At 42.4% G+C, this 21,453-nt stretch overlaps 1 protein-coding gene across 41 annotated transcripts in view; it reads right to left on the bottom strand.

Annotated features, from left to right (window-relative positions):
* PAK3 (p21 (RAC1) activated kinase 3) overlaps positions 1-21,453 on the bottom strand; it is a 282,965-nt gene that overhangs the window by 108,183 nt on the left and 153,329 nt on the right. For 17 of the 41 annotated variants that reach the window (NR_136746.2, NR_136742.2, NR_136748.1 and 14 more), the window contains one exon: positions 15,873-16,020. The exons of 14 other annotated variants lie outside the window; for them this stretch is intronic. The gene's annotated coding sequence lies outside the window, so the exon portion shown is untranslated. Of the gene's footprint in view, positions 1-15,872; positions 16,024-21,453 lie in introns of those variants that run through there. 10 more of the 41 variants (NR_136744.2, NR_136745.2, NR_136743.2 and 7 more) reach the window with 1 other exon arrangement.

The following is a 21,453-nucleotide window of genomic DNA, read 5'->3' as shown; positions in this document are numbered from 1 at the left end:
CCTCTTGTTTCATGATAGGCAAAGAGCCTAAATACCCCTTTTCTTCAGAGTACTAGGAGAGATTACCTCTCTCTTTCCCTGTCTTTCTCTCTCCCTTTCTCCCCACTCCCCACACAAGTTTGAAGGCATGTACACACAGGGGCACACAAGAACACATACAGAGTGACCTTCATTAACTTGCCTTGACACAGAGCTTTATTAATCTATAGTTGCCATGCATCTTGGTAATAGTTTTTTCTCTAAAATGCTTTGCAGTAAAGCCCTATTTCTCTGATGGTATGATATCTGATAAAAATATTTATTTCAATTGCTCATGGCTTAATAGATGGTCCTGCAAACTGTAGAATAATAATGTCTGTATTATTCTGTCTGCTTTCAAAATAGACATAACTATTTATTTTCATATTTAGACATAACTATTTCATATTTAGACATAACTATTTATTTTTATATTTTTCCAATGAAAACTAAATTAACACTGCCATCCTTTTAAAAACAAAACCCCAGGTTAGCAATGTACAGTCATGATCTAACAAACCCAGAAGAAAATCTCCAAAACCACCAGCCACACAAGGCTATTATCACAAATCTGAGCACACACCAAGGCTGTTTAACGCCCTTTTCATAGCAAATGAGAGGATCAAACACAGGACTGAGCTGTTCACTAAGAGAAATTTCCAAGGTGAATTTCCTAATCTGAGATATATATACATATATATATATATCTGAATTGTACTTTTGGTGGTGGGCAACAAAATCCAAGAGTTACAACTGCTGGCTCTTTCTTGGGCTCTCTTTTAACCAAAGGCATACATTTTCGAGATGGCTAGCTGAGCTTTCAGGCATAGACTTGACTGGGAAACAAACCATGCTTTGCTAACTAGCCTATGCTGATACTAAATCCACTTTATCTTAGATGCGTTATTTACAAAAGAACCAACCACCTCACTTATGACTGATAATGTAAGAAGATGTAGTGAACATTTTTAACTGCCAAAAAAAGAAAAAATCATCTAGCCTTCCACAAAGGAGACAATGTCTTAGGATTTGAAAGAAATATTATACGTTGCCTTGCATTTCTACAGCAACTAGCATCTGAAGATTTCTAGTGACTTTTCAGACATTAATGCCCATAATATACTAAGATGCCAAAGCGGGCATTTTACAGGGAGAAGAATGAACCAGATCTGGGTCTCCTAGCAGCTCTGAACCCACACTACCATTCCCAAACTAGGTGGAAAAGGGGCAGCCCAACCACTAACTATAGCCAGCTAGATGGGCCCAAATTACCATTTGTATCATCTTGTCTCAAATTGCACAGTCATTATCCAAGTCACTCCCCTCATTAGATCATAAGTTCCATGAGGGTAAGAGCCCCTCAGTCGTAATTATACACTTTCATACTACTAGTACAGTCTCTTGTTACCAACAGGCATTAAATACATGTGTAAAGTAACAAAATGGAACTCTATACATCCTATGTATTTGTTACAGCTTGGAGTAAGTTTTTCATAATGTTACATAAGCCTATAGACCTAATTGTAGCAGGTCAGAGACAAGAAAGCATATTTGGAAATATCAGCACTAGTCTAACTGCCAAGTAGTTAGGCATCATTTCAAAGCCAGCTACCATCTGATTACCAACACCTCATTTTAAAAACATATGACTTTGTAATGTCCAAAGGGCTTCCACGTCTTGCTCTTCTTTGAGCCTGACATCAACATTGCGAAGAAGAAAGTATCATCTCCATTTCTTACATGAGGAATTTACAAGCTTTGAGTTTAAGTACTTGCCCAAGGTCACAAATGAAAAAACTGAGAATAGTATCCAATCCCTCAGCTCCTAAACTCATCAGTTCCCTTTCCAGTACACCAATACAACGCATATCCAAGTAAACCCACAAACACACTCTTCATATATACATTTTTATCCTCTTAAAATATTCATACGACAGGTCTACCCTATTCATTTCAACCCACTTCATGCTGGTACTTACTTATTTCAAATGGCTTTTCCCATTTAAAGACACAAGGCTAGGTGATTTACTGACAACACTCCAACAAGTTTCGTTGGCCAGTTGTACCAATTCTTAGATGGCCTCGTTTTGGAGCTCGCCTCTTCTGGAGCACTCACCAAGGGAACTCTGCTATCAGAGACAGGGGTGTGCTGTTTCAGAGAGCCTCACTAGGGAGATACCATTACAGTGTGTAATGGAGGGAAGCCAATTCTAAGATCATTTGATCAGAAGGAGCTGAGCTACTTGTTAGGCAGGAGATCTGCAAAAGCAGCCAGACAAGAAAGAGAGGCACTAGCTCTTTTTACAGCCACCTAGTTTCAATCTTAGATCATGTAAGAGATAGCTCACTGCTGACATACATACAAGCACACTCACACAGCATACATTCATGTTCTCTCTCATACAAACAAGCAAATGAGGTCAGTTCTGCTGTAGTATTGTTGTCTGCTAACATTTTTATGAGTGACTTCCATTGTTTTCAGCAGGAACTTGACATTAATTGAGTCCAAGAAGCCAGCATATTATAGTTGCAAATTTCAACGTCAGGTTGCAAATAGGAAGTCAATAGGTATAATCCAGCATCCAGACTCCATATACTGCATATAAGGAAAAAATCATTCTTTTTCTTAAGTATAGTTATTTTTCAAATGACTTCTTAAGCCTCTAAACATATGCAGCACCATACTTTATTATTCATTGTGTGTGCTTCATGAGCTAATGCCCAGAAAATGCTAATGATTATCTTACATGTACTTATATTTGCAAACCGATGCATTATTACAGGTTTCAGCTTTTTGTTTCCAATATTGATGCTTCTAAAAAGAGAAAATAAGATCCATAAAGAATAGAGGTAGAAATATTTTAAGCATAAAAAACAAAAGTAATTACCCTAAGAGATGCCTCAGAGAAATTGGTGGAAAAAAGAAAAGAGAAGCAAAACTTAGTAAGAAAACATTTCCTAGTTCTCAGAGCACATAACATCCTTGGAAGCATTCAGATGGAACAAATTAGATAGATTAACATCCCAAGCAAGCAGGACATGGCAAACCAATGTCTTGAGTCTCTGGGGGTCTCGATTGTCTCTGTTACTATGCATGGATAATAATTATACTCTTTATTGATCCACCCCAGTGAAATATCAACAAATGTCCTCAAATTTAAGCTTGGAAATTCAATTCCTGAATTTCCTAGAGATTTTTGCATACCACAGAGGTGCCTGAATGTTGCTTTTCAAACTGTGCATCATGGCTCATCATCCTAGGTCCTTGCTCTATTCCCAATTTCTCTGTACCCAAATCAGCTTTCTACAGGGAAGGTGTCCATTTCACATCTGAAGAGAAGAGCTACCTGGGGCAATGGAGATTTGGTGTTATTTCTAAACTAGGAACTTAGATCAATTTAGCAAATCTCACAGTTCACCAAAAAAGTGACTTCTTGCCAGAAATGGAAGTTAAAGAATTTGAACTGGTGTAAAATGCAGCAACACTTCCTCAAGTTTTTGCCCCTTGACCTATGTTTACATGCCCATACTTTTTTTAATTTCATTATTATTATACTGAGCATGCATTTAAACATCTCATTTGGGAGCTATGGTTAAGGAAGAGGAAATAACATCTATTAAAAACAGGCTTTCTTAAATACTGAAGGAAGAATGAAACATGACAAAACCTACTTTCTACCCATCCCACTTCACAATGGTGGGGGATAAACATTTAGCTGACAAGGGCCTTACTTGTAGGAATTCCCCATATTCAAGCCCACCAGACAAATGTTTTGCATTAAAGAAAACTGGCATGGGTATTTTAAAAAAGATTATAATACACCCAAAGCAGTCTCTTTAGAAATTAAAAGCCTGATCTGAAGGACGAACTCATGATTGAGTATGTTGGTTTTCCCATGGCCTTTCCATGCCCAGCTTATACAAGTTCATAATTTGCAAGTGGCTCAATGCTTATTATTTTACTACCTGGTTGCAGCTGCTGCTGTCCACTTATAGAATATATGGTTCATCTTTAGTTCATGCTAGAGTAGATGTCTACCACAGCACAAGATCAGCTTTACTTCCCTAGTGCTCATATACATACAAAGCAAAGACTGCTGTGTGCCTAAGTCTTTCTGTGGGCCTGGGAAGCCCCCAAGCTGAGATCACAGGGCCCAGCCCTTACCACACAAGAAGGAAGTTAGGGTATTTTGGGAGGAAAACTGCAGATAAAACAGAAGCAGGGCTTGGTGGAAGGAGCTGTAATCAGCAGGCCTGAGGGTAAATCAGTCAGTAGTTCTTGACTCATTCCTGCGGAGACTGCAGTGTAGCCTAGAGCACATTCTGACAAAGGCACTGGGCAGAGAGAAAGGGGAGGAAACTCGGGTGTTCATAATAAATGTATATAACTCTGTATCAAATGATGCTCATCTTAGAGTGTTCTTTTTTCTTCAAGATTGAGCCTGACAAATCCTCTACGTCATAGTACTCCCAATTATGCCAGTCAATCACCAGTTGGTTTTGTGGCCTTTAGCAGATCACCTAGGCATGCCCTATACTCTTCTGCACAGCTTAATAATGAAGGTCTATAGGTCACACAGCTGCATAAAGAGAGGAAAAGATCTTATGTCAGCCCAACATTCCTTTTTACAGGAAAATATACCAACTAATGCTTTATCCTTGTTCATTTCTGGTTGACTTTCATTTCAAAAAATCCTGAGCCCAAAACAGAGAGGTACTACTCTTTGAGGTGACAGATAGTAACTGAGAATATATTATTGAGGCCCCTTAAGTAACCCATCTGTGCATGAATTCATTTACTTGAACCACAAATATTTACCAGTGCCTATGTGCTAGGCATCATACTAAGTGATGGGTGTAAGCAGATAAATAAGTGTCTAGCTCTGAGTGAGGTTATAGGCTCCAGCAGTGGGTTTCATTCCTGGCCACACATTATATGTAAAATGTATGTCATACAGTGTGGCAATTCCTCAAGGATCTAGAACTAGAAATACCATTTGACCCAGCCATCCCATTACTGGGTATATACCCAAAGGATTATAAATCATGCTGTTATAAAGACACATGAACACGTATGTTTATTGCAGCACTATTCATAATAGCAAAGACTTGGAACCAACCCAAATGTCCATCAATGATAGACTGGATTAAGAAAAATGTGGCACATATACACCATGGAATACTATGCAGCCATAAAAAAGGATGAGTTCATGTCCTCTGTAGGGACACAGATGAAGCTGGAAACCATCATTCTGAGCAATCTATTGCAAGGACAGAAAACCAAACACCGCATGTTCTCACTCATAGGTTGGAACTGAGCAATGAGAACACTTGGACACAGGGTGGGGAACATCACACACTGGAGCCTGTCGTGGGGTGGGGGAAGTGGGGAGGGGAGAGGGATAGCATTAGGAGATATACCTAATGTAAATGACGAGTTAATGGGTGCAGCACACCAACATGGCACATGTATACATATGTGACAAACCTGCATGTTGTGCACATGTACCCTAGAACTTAAAGTATAATTTAAAAAAAGTATGTCATATACAGACAAAAATAGAACTACAAAACAAGTAAGGATATGTGCATTGCAAAATGAGAGTAAAAATTTAAAAAGAGGAGCTACAGCACTTCAGAAAAGGGCAAGACTCTCTTCATCTTATTGCTATATAAGAAATCATACTACCACACACAAGGAATGTGTTTGATATTGTTCCAGGGAACATAGCTGCCTGGCCTTACATCCTCCCACCACCAACATTCATATATACTAGGTATTATGTCAGGTACAGGAAGCATACAAAGAGAGAAGAATAAAGACACATCTCTATCTTCAAAGAGCTTCTAGTCTAGTGAGGAAGGCAGACATGCATATATACAATAAGAATACAGTGTGATACAATCTAGGTAGGCACAAGATGCTTTGGAGGGACAGAGCAGGAAGGATAGCTAATATTCCCAGCGGGTTCAGAGGATATAGCGCTTGAGCAGGGTATGGAAGGATGAGCAGGAATTCAATAGGATTTGAAAGGTAGGAAGCACTAGGTTGGCATAAGGTATTATTATTCAACAGTATATTTCAACCAATGAATACTTCAAGCATGCTAGATTAGATTTATTAGCCTTGGGCCTGTTTCTGCTGGACTGAATGATATTGGTGCTGTATAAGTAAAAGAATAGATCTCAAAACTCTGGAAGAAAATAATATGTGTAAGACCTAAAAGCATTTTTAGAACTGTATCCATATATAAGCAGGACAGATCTCTTTGGGGAAATTTATTAGGCACATAACACTCGGAAAAAGAAACTTACCTTCGATGTTACATTTAAGAACTAAGTTGCATGTTGTTAGGCAGACTTAATTTGGGGGGTTGATTTTTATTTAGTAGATTTTTTATAAACCCAAAAGAATTGTTTCTAACAGAAGGAATGAATGACTAACTCTAGCTCTACTTCTGGATTTTTCTGTGATCCTGAAGAAATCATTAAACCTTCTTAAATTTATTCATTTATTCATCATTTATATGGTGTCTATTATGTGCTAAGGTAGGCATTGGATGCTTTGAAAGGACAGTGGAAGAAGGGTAGCTAATGGTGCCTGGAGGGTTCAGAGGATATAGCACTTGAACAGGGTATTAAAGGAAAGTAGGAGTTCACCAGGTTCTAGGGTGAGAGATGAACAAAGTTGACCCCGCCCTTGAAGAGACTTAAAATATAATGGATGTCAGCCATGACATCTCAGTGCAAAGATGAGAAAAGGTTGCTATAGAAGGACAGAGACAGAGACTCCCTGGAGCCTGACGAAGCAGGCTTCACAGGGGAAGTACAGTCGAGTTGAATTAGGAAGAACAATTAACCACACCATTTTTCAGGTCAAGCAGCAACGTGTATTAAGGAGATTAGGGACAAAAAAGAGGAATGGAAAAAAATAAGATCCATAGAGACGAATTAAGAAGGGTTTAATATGCGTTTCTACAAGGTTTGGACTCCTCTTGTGTATATGAAGAGGTTTCAAGTGGTGAGATAGCATGATTAACTTTGAATTTCAGAACTATTACTCAGGTGACAATGTAGCAGATGTCTAAGGTTGAAGACTTGGGAAAGGTTTTTCCTATGGAGTCAGATGTTCCAGGTAGGAACATGGAAATCATTTTGAAAAGTGACAACACTAAGATAATCAGTCAAGAGACAGAAAGCACATGCAGCATGGGAATAGGAAGACAGGAGAAGAGAGATGTCAAGAGAGGTCTCTACAGTGGACATTGGCCAAAGATGGTAGAGATGCCAGCCTTGATAGGATTAACTGTTCTCAGGACCCCAAATGGAAATCAGGGTAGAGATATATTTCTATGCCAAGAGGCCCAGAGGAGTATGGGAGGCCTAATGGCCTAATGGTTTTTGCAAGCTTTAGTTTACATTTGGGATTCCAAATAGAACCGTGCCTCAGTTTCCATGTTTGTGAAATGAAAATAACCGAATAGCTTAGAATGGAGATGAAAAATAACTAATGAAGTTAGTGTGCTGATAACAAATATGAATGTGTTGGAAGTCCCTTGTATTAGCAACCATTAGACCACCTGTAATAATTGCACTCTAAAGAGAATAAGAACAAATTATTATAATATTTTTGGCCAATAGAACGGCACTTATAATAAGTTTTATAGAAAATTCATCTAAATTTTTATCCAGACTTTACCAACAAACATAATAATACTATCAAGACTACAACAGGCAAAGATAAGAGGATAAAACCAGTGACACAATAGAAATATCAGTAAAAACTTAACTAGAAATATCTAGTGGGAAGCAAGACACATATCTAAGCATCTTGTCTTTGAAAAGTATAATCTACATGGCAAGTAATAAAATAATTGAAGGAAACATCAATTCACATGTGGTGGAAAAACTGTATCTCTAGCTATATCTATTCCTCATAACAGAGATAGCAATATTAAGACAGATACAATTGTAGCAGTGGTTCTAACACATTCATTTGGCATTATGAAACTGTTCAATGGAGAGCTGGACATGTGGGATGAAGATATTTGTTTGGAGGCCATCAGCATGGGAATATGCACAATTGCTCAGGAAGAATACACAATGAGAAGGAGGACTAGACCAGATCTCTGTGGAACACCAACATTTAGAGGTTGGAAGAGGAAGAGTGACTAATGATCCCTGAGAAAGATGGTCAAAGAGGCGGGAGAACTGATATGTTGTCATAGAAACCAAGAGAAGAGTGCTTCAAGGTGAATGTTTGGCTATGAGAAAAATGTTACAAAAAGGCCAAAAGTGCTCCTATCTTTTTGTCCTCCCATCCTCTCCCTAACGTTTACTAAGCTTGATGTCTTATAATTCTCATGTCAGGACAGAAATGGCCAAGTGGCACCACAGGTCTGTTGAAGTGTCTCCGTATGTTTTAAGAATTCCCAGACTCTGAACATTTGGTGTTACTGGAGCAACATGAGCAGAACCACACAGTATTTATGCCTCAAGAAAGATTTTCCTCTTGGTGGTGAATGGTACTACTGTGGCCCTATGTCACTCAGCTATGTTTGGAAAGGTACTGCTTTCCAAACATTTATGATGTCACATTTGTTTCACTCTTGCAACATTCTGGGCATTGCACAAGATACAAAGAGAAACACCTATGGTTCGATTTGTAGATAAACTGTAGCTCACATTTAGATATTTTTGTCACAAGAAGGATTATGCTCAGTTCAAATTGTTCTTATTTGCTAACTGTAGCCCCCAAAGGCTTTACCAAGTGAAGGTGCAAATATTCAATCATCTGAACTGGTGCTTTCTAAGCCTAGTACTGCCACTCACAAGCTGCGTGACATTAGGTACATCTCTTCACCCCTCTGAAGCTATTTCTTCATCTAGAAAGGGTGATCACGTCACCAGTAGATTGTGAGGATCACATATCCACATTTGGGAACTGCTTTGAAGTAATTCAAGACATTCTACCAATAGATGTTTACAGTTTATTTTCACAGATTTCACAAGCCATAAACAAAATCGCTATCATTCACTGAAATCTTATCATGGCCCACGCACTCTGCTAAAAGTTACTTAGGTACAAGTTCACATAACTTGCATAACCCCTGAGGTGTTATTACAGTATTTTCATTCCACATATGAAGAAGCACATTCATTAAGTCACTTGACCAAGGTCACAGAACTAGTAAATGTAATAGTAAGATTATACCATCCCATGTCTATGTGACATCAATGCCCGTGCACTTATTTCTGTTTCCTAAGTCACGGAAAGTTTCATATTAAATTCTGCAGTTACTCACAGCTTTTACATGAACATGAATGTTCTTAGGGCTTTGTCGTAAGTAAACTGTGCTTCCACTGTGGCGTTTGGGACGAAAGCCTGAAAATGAGCAGATCTTCCACCCACAAAACAGACATTTCAACAATCAGAATCAAGGACAGAAGAATGCCTATGGTAAGAGAACCAATTGCTGGTTCCACCTACATTAGGAATCTCTTCTACTCACCACCCCCACAAGTTTGGGTACTGGCAAATAAAGGTGGCATCACTGATGGCTTTACTGATTTCAAGGGTGGAAGTAGGACTAGAGGGGATAGCTAAATGAACAGGACACATTTCTGCAAGATAAACATGTCCTAAAGAGACACAGTAGTTGAGGAAACTCCATGGACTAATCCTATTTTTCACTCATCGTCTTGAGTGGGAATGAATACTGACACCTAGCTTGTGGCTAGGCAGAAATAAAGACTTAAAGGAAAACAGGCAACAAGTCCTGTGAAAATCAATCTTTGGCTGCAAAGAACCATACTGTTTCTCTGTTATGTCAAGGATCTGTCCCTTTGAAGGTGCCTACCTCAAAGGGCTATGGTAAAGATAATAAGCTCTATACTGTGTCAAACATTTACTATAAGCCAGACATTTTGCTAAACACTTTCATATATTATCTCATTTCATCCTCTTAACAACTCCATGAGGTAGATGACATTAGTGTCATTCCCATTTTACACATAAGGACACTGAGGCTTAAGGGGGATAAGTAATTTCTCTTCACTTGATCTTAGCCAAAAGGCCTAAGAAGCAATGGGGATAATTTCTCAAACAAGGTTACACAGCTAGGAAGTGGCCAAACTGGGATTCAAATGGTGGTCTGGCTGATACCAGAGTTGGTGCTCCTAACACCTCTATTGAAATGGAAGAATGGGTTATTAAACATTTTTAAAAGTATAAAATATCATATAAATGCATGATGGGTTTGGGAATGGGTTTTCTCAGTGCTTCTCACTGAATTCAAGCACACTCAGGCAGGTGCATTTTTCTCTTCCTAATATTCAGCCAGTCCTGCAAATTATATAAATTGCCTTTGGTGAATCTTGAAGTAATGGCCAAAAATTTCCAAATGTAAAATTGCCCAGCTGTTTCTCTTAAGCCAGCAGTCCTCAACCTTTTTTGGCATCAGGTACCAGTTTTGTGGAAGACAATTTTTCCATGGACATGGGGCAATGGGGTGGTTTTGGAATGAAACTGTTCCATCTCAGATCATCAGGCATCAGATTCTCATAAGGAGCACACAACCTAGATCCCTTGCCTGTGCAGTTCACAATAGGGCTCACGCTCCCATAAGAATCTAATGTTGCTGCTGATCTGACAGGAAGTGGAGCTCAGGAAGTAATGCTTGTCATCCACCACTCACCTCCTGCTGTGCTGCCCAGTTCCTAACAGACTGTGGACCAGCACTGGTCTGCAGTCCAGAGTTTGGGAACCCCTGTCTTAAGCTGTCTCTTGGAGGAGGTGGTGGTTAGATCTTAATAAGTACAATAATCTCACTAAGGTCTGCAGATCACTCTTATTACTCCACTTTAGGCCCAGTAACAGAGTACTCTGTTATACAATCTTCTGGGAATATGGCACAGCCCTGTGCTAAGCAAGCTATCTACAAGGAAGTTTACTTTGGAAAGTGACTTCTCTAAATTCTGACTGCTGTCCCCAACTACTTATGAACCGTCAAGACCTTTGGAGCCTACAGACCACTGGATTTCATGATAAAGATCCCTCCATGCCCAAGCTTCCAGACTGTTGCCTCATACTACTGTTTCATGGCAACTTGATCTTTCCCACACAAATGAAAGTACCTTAGAGTGCAATAGGTGTGTCTTTCACCCATTTGAATCTCTGGGCCTAGCTCTATGTGGGGCCTACAGACAATCCTCAATCTGAGCTGGTAATGCCACTGCAAATCTGGGATTGAGGAAGAGAAGAAGAGAGACACTGGGTCTGTATTGATAAGATGTTCCTGCTCAGGTATCCCCTTTAGTTTCTTAACTGAGTCTCACAAGTAGCTTTTCTGGACCTAGCATTGCACTAGGCATCAAGAAACCAAAATGAGTAAGATAATATAGTTCTTGCTATCAAAGAAGTTCTCAATCTAATGGCAGGGAGTTGGGTTATATTCCAGAGAATAAGCTCTTCCCTAAGGCATGCTAGAACCCATACCAAATGGCAGCTTGGGTATATTCTGAACTCATTTTTTGCTCCAGGGTGACTCCAGCAGGAGAAGCCATGTACTAGAGACACCCTTGCAAGATGCTCTTGTGTTTTCAAATCTCTGTTGGCACATGACTCTTGCACCAGGCTCCTGATCCATTAGTTCACTCCTGGGTTTGTGCTTCTTTTTATCCACTTGCAGGGAAATCTACAGTCTTTCTGAAGTGCAAGAAACTTCCTTCAGCTTGTCTTTATCCACGCCTACTGAAAAATCTCCTCTTGTAACTTGTTAGTAACAGCTGTTGAAATTTCAGTGGGGTCTACTATCGCACATGAACACTTACAGTACAAATTTACCTTATCATCCAGCTAGTTCATTAACCTTCTCTTTCCTTTCCTTGAGTGCCATGTTCCAGGGTTAACAGGGTATTAAGTATACCTGGCTAGATTAGAGGTGCCTGGTGGAAGCAGGCCTGCCCTTTCCATGTGTGTAATCAGCAGGCAATTCCAGATCATAAATATAAAACCAGAGACATGCACTTTTGCATAAGAAACCATTAACAGCACATAAAGAAACACATCCTTCATCTTCCTTTCACTATAGGAAAGAAATGAGGTAGCAAGTTAAGCCATAAACTTCCAGAAAATAAACACACCATCTAAACTCCAACCTGTGTTGGACAGGACTGGCTAAGGCTGTATTGGAGATGATTTCTGAAAAAAGAAAAAGTATGTGGAAAGGATAAGGAAAACTTGATCTGTGGGTTTGAGCCTTTTCTTTTTTAATCCTAGACATAAATTCTACTCCTTTCTGCTCTGAAAGGATCTATTTCTCATTGACCTCCTGGATGAGACCAACATTTTTCCTCTGGCAACTGGTTGCCAATATAACCTTTCAGCAGGGGTGAGGAGAGCACTAGTGGCAAACAAAGAAAAAAGAGACAACTGTGAATATAAACTATTTCTTGCAATTAGATGTATCCGTGTGTGTGTGTCAGTGAGAAAGTATATAAATGCAGGGCTATTGGGATGGGAGGGGGATGTGTAAGAGTTTGGGAAAGTATGTATGAGTGAGAGTGTGGGTCACTAGCAGTATGTGTGAATCAATGTGAATAGATGTGGGTCAATGTGATTATCTCAGTGGTAGTTAAGTGTCAACGTGTTCATGTGAGAGTCTGAGTAAGAGTACATGGTGGATTACGGGAGAGTGTTTGACTTCCTGAACAGGTGTGTCAGTGTAAGTGTATCAATGTAAGTGAGAATGTGGCATGGCGATTGTGAGTGTGAGTCTATGTTGTCATATGTGGTATCAGTAATTGCCTGTGTGAAGCACAGTCAACTATTGCAATGTGAATTGTGTATGTCAGTGTGGTATGTGCTAGCATGAATGCAAGTCAGTGACTGTGCATGTCATTATATGTGCACTGGTGCAAACGTGTGTAGCGAAGTGAGTAAGGGTGTGTCAGTATGAAAGTAGAAGAGTGGGAATGTATAAGAATGTGAGTGTGTGGTAAGTGTGATTGGGCCAGTGTGAAAATGTGTGATGTACGAGTGGGGGATGGTGTGTGAGGGGGTACACATGTGCATGTACACGAATGTGGAGGAGTGCTTGTCTGTGGGAATAAGGGCGTGTATAATTTTGAGTGTACAGTCGTGAATGTGAAAGTGAGTGAATATGTGAGTGTTAAGTACATGTGCAGTATGTATGTTTATGTGAATTTGTATGAGTACTGAATGTGAATAAGCCTATATATGTGTCAGTCAATGTGACTATACCTGTGTGTGTAAGTGATTGTGCTTGAGTTTGAGAGGGTAGAGTGACGGTTTTCAGTGAAAATGGCTGAGTTTATAAAAATATGTGTGTATGGTTGTATTTCAGTGTATGTGCCTGCAAGTTTGGTATAGAGTGTGATGATGTCTCAGTGTGAAGAAAGTGAGTGTGTGAGTGTGAATGTGTGGCAAAATGTGTGTTTCTATGTATGAATGTGATTATGTGTGAATGTATCAGGAGTAGGGAGGTTGTTTTAGCTCTGTGTATGTGAATGCAAAAGTGTGTAATTCTAAGTGTAAAAGTGCAAGTGGGTGAGATGGTGCTTATGATGTGAGAAAATATAAACGTGGATATATGAGCATGTATGCACGTTTGTGTCCCTGTGATAAGTTTGTGACTGTGAGGAAGAAACAGTGATGACATCAATGCAAGTACACTGGAGTGTATGAAATTGAGTGTATGAATGGCTGTGAGTATAAGAAACAGTTGGAGTGTGTGCAGGGGGAATGTCAATGTATTATTTGTGTATAGAGTATGTATGACTATACAGGAATTTGGGCAGGCAAAGGTGATTGTATCCTCTGTGTGAATGTAAGTGTGAAAGTGTATGATTGTGTGTGTGTGTGAGAATATGATATTAATAGCACAAAGGTGTGAGTGTCTGTGAACATGAGGGTGGGGTGTATGGTAAGTGTGTTGTGTGCATCAATATGAAAATGTGAATACGTGAATGTGAATTTGTGGCAGTGTGAATGTACCTAAATGTAGCATGTATGTAAATATGATTGTGTGTGAGGGTGAGGGCATAAGAGTGATCATCATTTTGAATGACTCCAGTATGAAAAGTGAGTGAGCCCAGGGGATGATGTGACTGTGTGAATGTACAAGAGTACAAGAATGTGCTTGTGAGAGTATGTATGTGTATGTGCATGAACTAAAGATACCAAAATAACTTTGGATGCTGGGAAACTCTCTCCAGGAAGTCTCTTTCTTCCCAAAGCCACAGCATGTCTTCTGTTACAGGCAAGTTACTTAGCTTCTCTCAGCCTCTATCTCCTCCTTGGTAAAACAGTAATGATGATAATACCTAACTTCAGCTAGTATCACTTGTATAATCAGAAACAGCAATAACTATTAGAAAAAAAAATACCTACCTTGCAAGATTATCATAGGAGAAAATGGTATCATGCCAGTAAAGAGCCTAGCACAGAGCTGGCAACAGTAGACAATAAATACAAGTTATTATTGCATCTGTCACAGAACACCAAAGAGCGATTCAGGGGCTTCTCATTTTAGTCAGTCCTAGTTACCTTCTGTCCGTCAAGGCCTAAAGAGGATCCCCTACCAGAACATCGCTAGAAAGTTGAATGCATCAGTATCAACAAGGCTGTAATTTCATACCTTCAATTCCATGGCTGAAACTCTGGAGCTTCCCTTTCATAAGAAGGCATCACAGAAACACCTGCTGCTGAGCTGCAGTTTTACCTTGTCTGTAGGCGCATTGTATGCTCAGTGTGAAAGGGAACTACATTGCTTATTCCTTGCTTGTTTTTTGTTTAGTTTTTCTGTTTTTTTTTTTTAATTTTGTTGGTTGTTTTTTGATTTGGGTAATAGGAGAGATGCCTAAGCAACTGATAGACAGAAGACCAGACAGAGGGACAGCAAGCTACAAGCAGGTAGCTGGACTGCAGGGAATAGCAACAGAGGCCAGATGGAGAAGCTGACAGAAGAAGTTATAATGCCTGCCTGAAAGGCAGACAAAAAAACAAATAGATGATCGGAGAGACAGGCCATGAAACCTGAAAGAAATGCAGAGGAAGAGAGAGAGGCCCAACTTGCAAAGCTGCTGGGGAACTTTTGAGCCCTTTTAAGGGAGACTAGAGATCTGTAAGATCTAGTCCCTGCCCTTGAAGAGCTTACAATCTAGTTTTCCTGGTAAGATGAATACTCCAGAAACCATGCAAGACTTATTTAAGGCAGTAGGGCAGCAAGTGCTACCCTGCACGCTACAGACTCAAGTGCTGTTGGAGACCTGGTGGAGGAAGTGCATCTTGGTTGGGTGGGAAAGCAGAGGGAAGGTTTGGGAAGGTTTAAGCTAAGTCTGACAGGCCCAGAAGCAGGGATGGAAGGGGTGGGGGTACACTTCAAACAGGAAGGTAAAATTAAGGTTATGGGGCAGTAGAAATCATAGGAACTGAATGGCAAATTTGCAGCATGTGGCTGAAAAGCCACCCAGGCACCAGGAAAGGAGGAGAAAAGAAAATGACAGCTTGATGGGAAGCATGTCTGTGTTATACTGAAGCTCTTAGATGGTGCTTGACATCTGCAACGGACTTGGCAACGATTGTTATGTTGTTTCTCCTCCTCACCCCAAAATGTAGGTCAAGGCTGTCATTCCCATATTAGAGATGGGAGGGAGGCAAGAGACTAAAGGCAGCTGTACTGGGCAAAATTCCCCAGAACATAGGGGTCATGCCCTGAGGCCTAGCTCACGAGGTCTAGGCAGAGTCTTTGATATTGGGAGATCTGGTGGAAAAGCAGCATTTGCCTGGATTTGGAGATCCCTAACTCCCTGCCCTGGACTCCATTACTCACCTCACACCGCCACCGCTGCAGGACTTCAGCACAGGTGGGCACTGCCCATGAGAAGGGTCCGGGCTGGCTTCAGCTCCTACAGACTCAGTGCTGGGCACACCAGCTGCCACAAGATGCAAGGACTCAGCTGCTCTTTCTTGGGGGAAACCTGCTGAGAGAAGCATTGTAGGGGAGAGGGAACCTCTTTCCCCACCTGCTACTGCTCCCTCATCCAACTCCCACCAAACATCTCTCTCTCTCTCTCTCTCTCACACACACACACATACTCTCTCTCTCATACACACACACACACACACTCTCTCTCTCTCTTTCTCAATCTCTCTGGTGAATTTCAGAATATCTCTTAAGAAAGCTAGAAAATCAGAGGGCTAAGAAGTGTAAAAAGGCATTGTTACATAGGATTCCAGAAAGGGCACGGAAGTGGGAGTCAGGAGTTGGGAGTTACAAGCTGAGAATTGCTGTTAGTCACCTCATCATTCTGGGCCTGCTTAGTATCAAGTGAAAAGGCCTGCCTTAGTTGACTTGGGTAAGTGTTGGAAGAACTAAATCAAATAGGACAGATGTGAAATATTTACATAGTCTGCATAATTATGGAGCAATGTGTATAATCACAGGAGGTGGTAGAGTCCAGTGGACAAAAGGAAACTGAGAGACAATGGCCAATGAAGGTTGGCTCTGTGAATATGTGAGCTTCCTGATGTTGTGGCACTGCATTCAGTTCAGTTCAGTTCATCCCTCAACTCTAAGTCTCCACCTCCATTTCCATTCCCCTTTTCACTAACCTCTTTCACTGGAGAAGTGGAAAAAAAGTCTGTCTGCCAGGCAACAGCATTCTGAGGTCTCCTAATTTGCTACCATCTCACAGGTGCTGAAGGCCCCAGCCTCTGACCCTAATTGGAGCTTCCCTCTACCTTCTCCTGTCTCCACCAGGTAAGTCTTCCACAGTACTCCCCAGGTTTCTTAGGATGAATACATACTGTTTACTGTTGTTGCTTGGTGATAATTTACCCTATTTTTCCCACAGAGGTTTCCATGTCTAACCATGAAGGAGACTGAGTCTCTTTGACCCCTCCCTTTCTGCCTTTTCCCACAATCATTTGAGCCTCTCAAGGGAGAGGCTGATCTTCTCTTTGTAGAACCCCAAGCTCTGCAATCCTTCCTACTCTGCTTTCCTTTCCCCTTCCCACAGTGGTGTTTGTCCTCAAAGAAAAGCAGAAACTACATGCTAATTCTCAAGGAGGCATGATTCAGGCTAGCACCTATTTATTACAGACCAGAATGAACAGGGTCCTAATCCAAAGAGATGGCTAGATGGATATCTAAACACGGAGATTGCAAAATTGAAGCCTTAGGGAGCCAAGAAAAGCCCCATGATCTCCAATTCCCCCTTCTGGAATTAAAACTCCAAGCCATACTCTGGGTCTGCCTCTTGCTCTTGGGCAAGACTCCAGAGCATGTCTGTCCCCCAGCATCCCTGGCATTCCATGTGTGCTTCCCACATGCACACTCCAGGCAGCCTTTCCAAATCCCACCCACTGCACCATTGAATGGTGTACTCGCCCCCTCCCTCCCTACGTGAGCTCACCCTGCAAGAGGGTGGGGTGAGGGGGAGAGGGGTGCAAGCTGCCAAAGCTCCAGAGAGGGGTGGGGCTCAAGGAGGACACAGGAAGAATGGCCTCAAGAAGCCCCCTGCCCATCTCTGGGGATGAGGGCAGACAGCAGAGGCAGCATCCACCCACTGGGGTGGGAAACAATACTAGAGGATGTAAGAGAAGGAGAACACACCCCCAACCTGTACTACCAAGAACCTCCATGTTTTAGAGCAAGATCAAGAGCTTTCCTGAAGCTTACCTCCCCCTCCCCCCAGCCTCAATTGTAGCACCACTTTTTAACTCCATGGCAACCTGCCTTTATTTCACCACTTGCTTGAGTCAGTGCAGAATCAACTGACAGGACACAGTATTCCACCTGGTAGCCACACTCCTCTCACCTGCCTGGGGGTGTGTTGTGTTGAGAGTAGGGCAAGGGGAGATATCCTGTGTGTGAGCACATGTGCATACTGGGTCATGTATATCTGCACAGTTCCCTGTACCATGTTGTATGTCTGTGTATGTGTGCTGTGTCATATCTACCATGACATGCATGTATTGAGTCTGCATCATATCGTGTGTGTGTACAGTGTCCTGTTAATATCATGTTGTATACGTGATCATGTCAATAAGCTACTGTGTGAGTGCTATGTGTCTGTACTGTGTTGCATGTGAATTGCATCTCTTCCATCCTTTGTGTATGTGCAATGTGTCTAATTCGTATTGTGTCATATCTTTATGCCATGTTGTGTGTCTGTATAGTGTTGTGGGCATTGTGTGCCTACATCATGTTGTATGCCTATACCGCCTTGTTGTACACCTATGGCTCAGCCTCCTGTTGGAGACTGAGGTAGAAATCAGTGCACACATCTTGTACATACCCAATACCCATCACTAACCCAACTCCACCCCCAGCCACCTTGCTGCATTCCAACTTCCTGACAGAATCTCTGTCTGGGGACTAGGGCTGCCACCTTGGCGGTGGGGGTAGGTGGAAGCTATGGACAACTACTCTGTCTACCACAGAGCCTTCCCATGCCAAGTATCTTGCTCAGCACCGAAGCTGTCTAGGAAAGGAGGTTTGGAACCTTTTTCAGGCCCAAAGGAAACAACGCTGGAGAGGAAGTTGTGGGGAGCTGACTCCCTCTGTGAACCCCCAGCCCCATCCATATATGCAAGGAGAAGGACTTGCAGGAAACGGTGGCTGGCTGAGTTTCTCTGTCAGGCTGGTTGGAAGGACTGGGAGCCTTCTCCACAAGGAGTAACCGCTGCACAAGGGCACTGGTGACCAGGCTGGGACCGGGGATGCATGGGGAGCTCTTAAAATTGTCCCCATTAAGGTCACTAGAGGGCACTGTTGTGCTGATTGTTAAGGATAGTGTTTCTTTTAGGGTGCTGAATTCCAAAAAGTGCCTGGGGCTCACAGTGAGATATGGGAGGAGGGCACGAAGGAGAAGGATATACGCCCTAAGCCAGGCCCTTCCTTCACCTTCATCCCAAGACTTTCTGTTTTGAGATTGAGTTAGGGAGTAAGGGCCACTAGTGAATATACGCCACCCACCCATCCACTCAGGTCTGTGAGACCCAGCCACACAGAACCTTTCAGGGGCTTGGTTATAGGGTCCCTAGCAGATTATTAACTTGGACTTCTCTTTTCCCTCCTGTTCCCCATTCACATGAAGTAAAAGTAAAGCCACACTGTTGAAAGAGATGAAATATATGTGGTTGTGGGGTTGTTTTGTATTGTTTTCCCTAAAACTGGAGGGCATACAAAAAAAGAAGGGGTAATTTTTCTGACAGGGGAAGAAGAGGGCTATACTTTAGTGGACCTGTCTTCATTACCAAGAATAAATGGACCACCTTATAGAACAACTAGTGCCAAGTTCATCGTTTGAAAGACAAGGAAACTGAGGCCTAGAGAGGGGCAAACACACTGTCTGGGACCCCCAAACACAACAGGGGTCCCAGACTGTCACTGTCTGGGACAGTGTGTTTGGGGGTCCCAGACCAGGCCCTAGCCCTCCATAACACTTGACTTCTGACTCCCAGGGTTCATTCCACCCCAGTTCCTGGTCCTTTGGCCCCTAAAAAACTTCACTCTCCAAATTCAGCCCCCTCCAACCTCAAAGAAAAACTCTGGCCTCCCTCTCCACCATGTGGGTTCCAAGGCCATCCTATTCCATCTCAGCAATCAGGCCTCTCTGTGACTACACCTTTCTAATGATTTCCTCTTCCCACCAGTAAATTGTTACTCTCTTTCCAGTTTTCAAGGTCCATCTCCCCATTATGTTTCCCAGACTTAGACCCAGCTGTAGCTGCACCGTTTTGCTCCTCATTGCATCCCCTGGGTTTAGCACAGATTGCTCCAACCTGCAGATAACTGACCAAATGTGGAAATCAGACACAGATCTATTGCACTGATTAACATTTCCAATTAAACCCCCGGTTAGGCTGTGTGTATTAGTGACTCAAATAATCACCGCGTAGGTAAATGCAAATGCCTTCCAAAGCCACAGAGCGCGGTAGGAAGCGACGCATATCTGGGAGGAAATGGAAATAGACTGCCACACCCGGAGGTTCATTTGGTTCTCCGGTAACCCTAAATGAGATTTTAAATGTGTGGCTATTATTTGATCCGAGGCTGAAGCATCACACCTGAAATGGAGGACTCGGGTCCTGCGCGTCGCTGCAGGCCCTTTTCCGCCCCCTGCTGGAGAAGCTGTGTAGTGCCGACTTGGCAGACGAGTCCATTCCAGGCCCTGCAGAGGGAAACGCCTAGCCCCCGGCAGGTGGGGGTGGGGGTGGGGGACGCGTAGCGGAGGCTTAAGTACGCCCCAGATGCCTAGAACGCTGCACTTACCTTCCGAAGTAAAGGTTTTACACAGTTCCCTGCGCACACAGGGTCCCCAGGGATCCTGAGAAGGAGGGCTTTTTTTCTTTTTTTTTTTTGAGCAGGGGTCCCAGACCAGGCCCCAGCCCACCCATGTAAAAGCAGTCAACCTACCTGTCTAGGCCAGATTGATAGCGCCTCCACTTCCCTTTGAGGCACCGTCCTTCCCCACTGCCCTCTCCTTACCCAGGAGGAAAGAGCCAGTTGTTGAGGCTGCTGCTCATTGAGTTTCTTGTTCTCTTGGTTAAAGCTACTGGTTCCTGAAGGTGGGTTACGTGGGTGGGGATGCTGTTGATTTTAAATATCTAGAATCATCCTTCTAATTCTTGGCTGAGCTACAGCTGCCTCAACCTCCAGAGTTGCCTATCTCACCAGAGAATTCAGGGCTTTTGGGTTGTTGGTAAGGCCACGACTTTTCTTCTCTCTCTCTCTAGTTTGCTCCTGCCTTCCTGCCTACTACATCTGATCTGTACACCTGATTTTTTTTTTTTTTTTTGCCTTGGCCACCTTCTTTAACCTTAATTTAGTAGCTTAGTCTCTGAACACATAATAGCAAACTCTCGGATGTCAGCACCTTCCCATCCCTGCAGTTCTTTTTATTTCTCGTTTCCCTCACCTGGTATGTCCACCACTCACCCTCTCCCAAGACCTCAGCAAACTTGTTTGCCCTATATACCATTTCCACCTCTGACCAGGAAATTCTGCAACCTGTGGGAATGGTTAGCTGGTGAGAATGTCCCTAGGGTCCTGTGTCCCCTAGCTTATAACCCTATTGCATGTGAACCTCCTTTTCCTGTCAGATCTCTCCTACAAGGCCCAGCTGCCTGTCCGGAGACTTGCAGGGTCAGCTCCTTGACATCCTAAGGTCTCTCTGACCTCAGGATTCTCAGCTGTCAGCTCTTGCCCAGGCTACCTCCTAGTCTCTTCCCATTTTGCTTCTTGCATGGGCTGGGGGATATGACACTTGTATCCAGAAACAGAGGCTTACAAATGGCTCTCTCTCCAAGCCTCTGCCTGTTAGTCATTCATTACCATATCAAGTCTTTTTGCCCAAAGTTGCCCCTGATTGGAGGCCTCAAGTACCAAATCACAGATCTTGCCC

Source organism: Homo sapiens, chromosome X (genome assembly GCF_000001405.40).
Source record: "Homo sapiens chromosome X, GRCh38.p14 Primary Assembly".
In the NCBI taxonomy this organism is placed as follows: Eukaryota; Metazoa; Chordata; class Mammalia; order Primates; family Hominidae; genus Homo; species Homo sapiens.
This window is presented reverse-complemented; position numbering and strand designations above follow the sequence as displayed.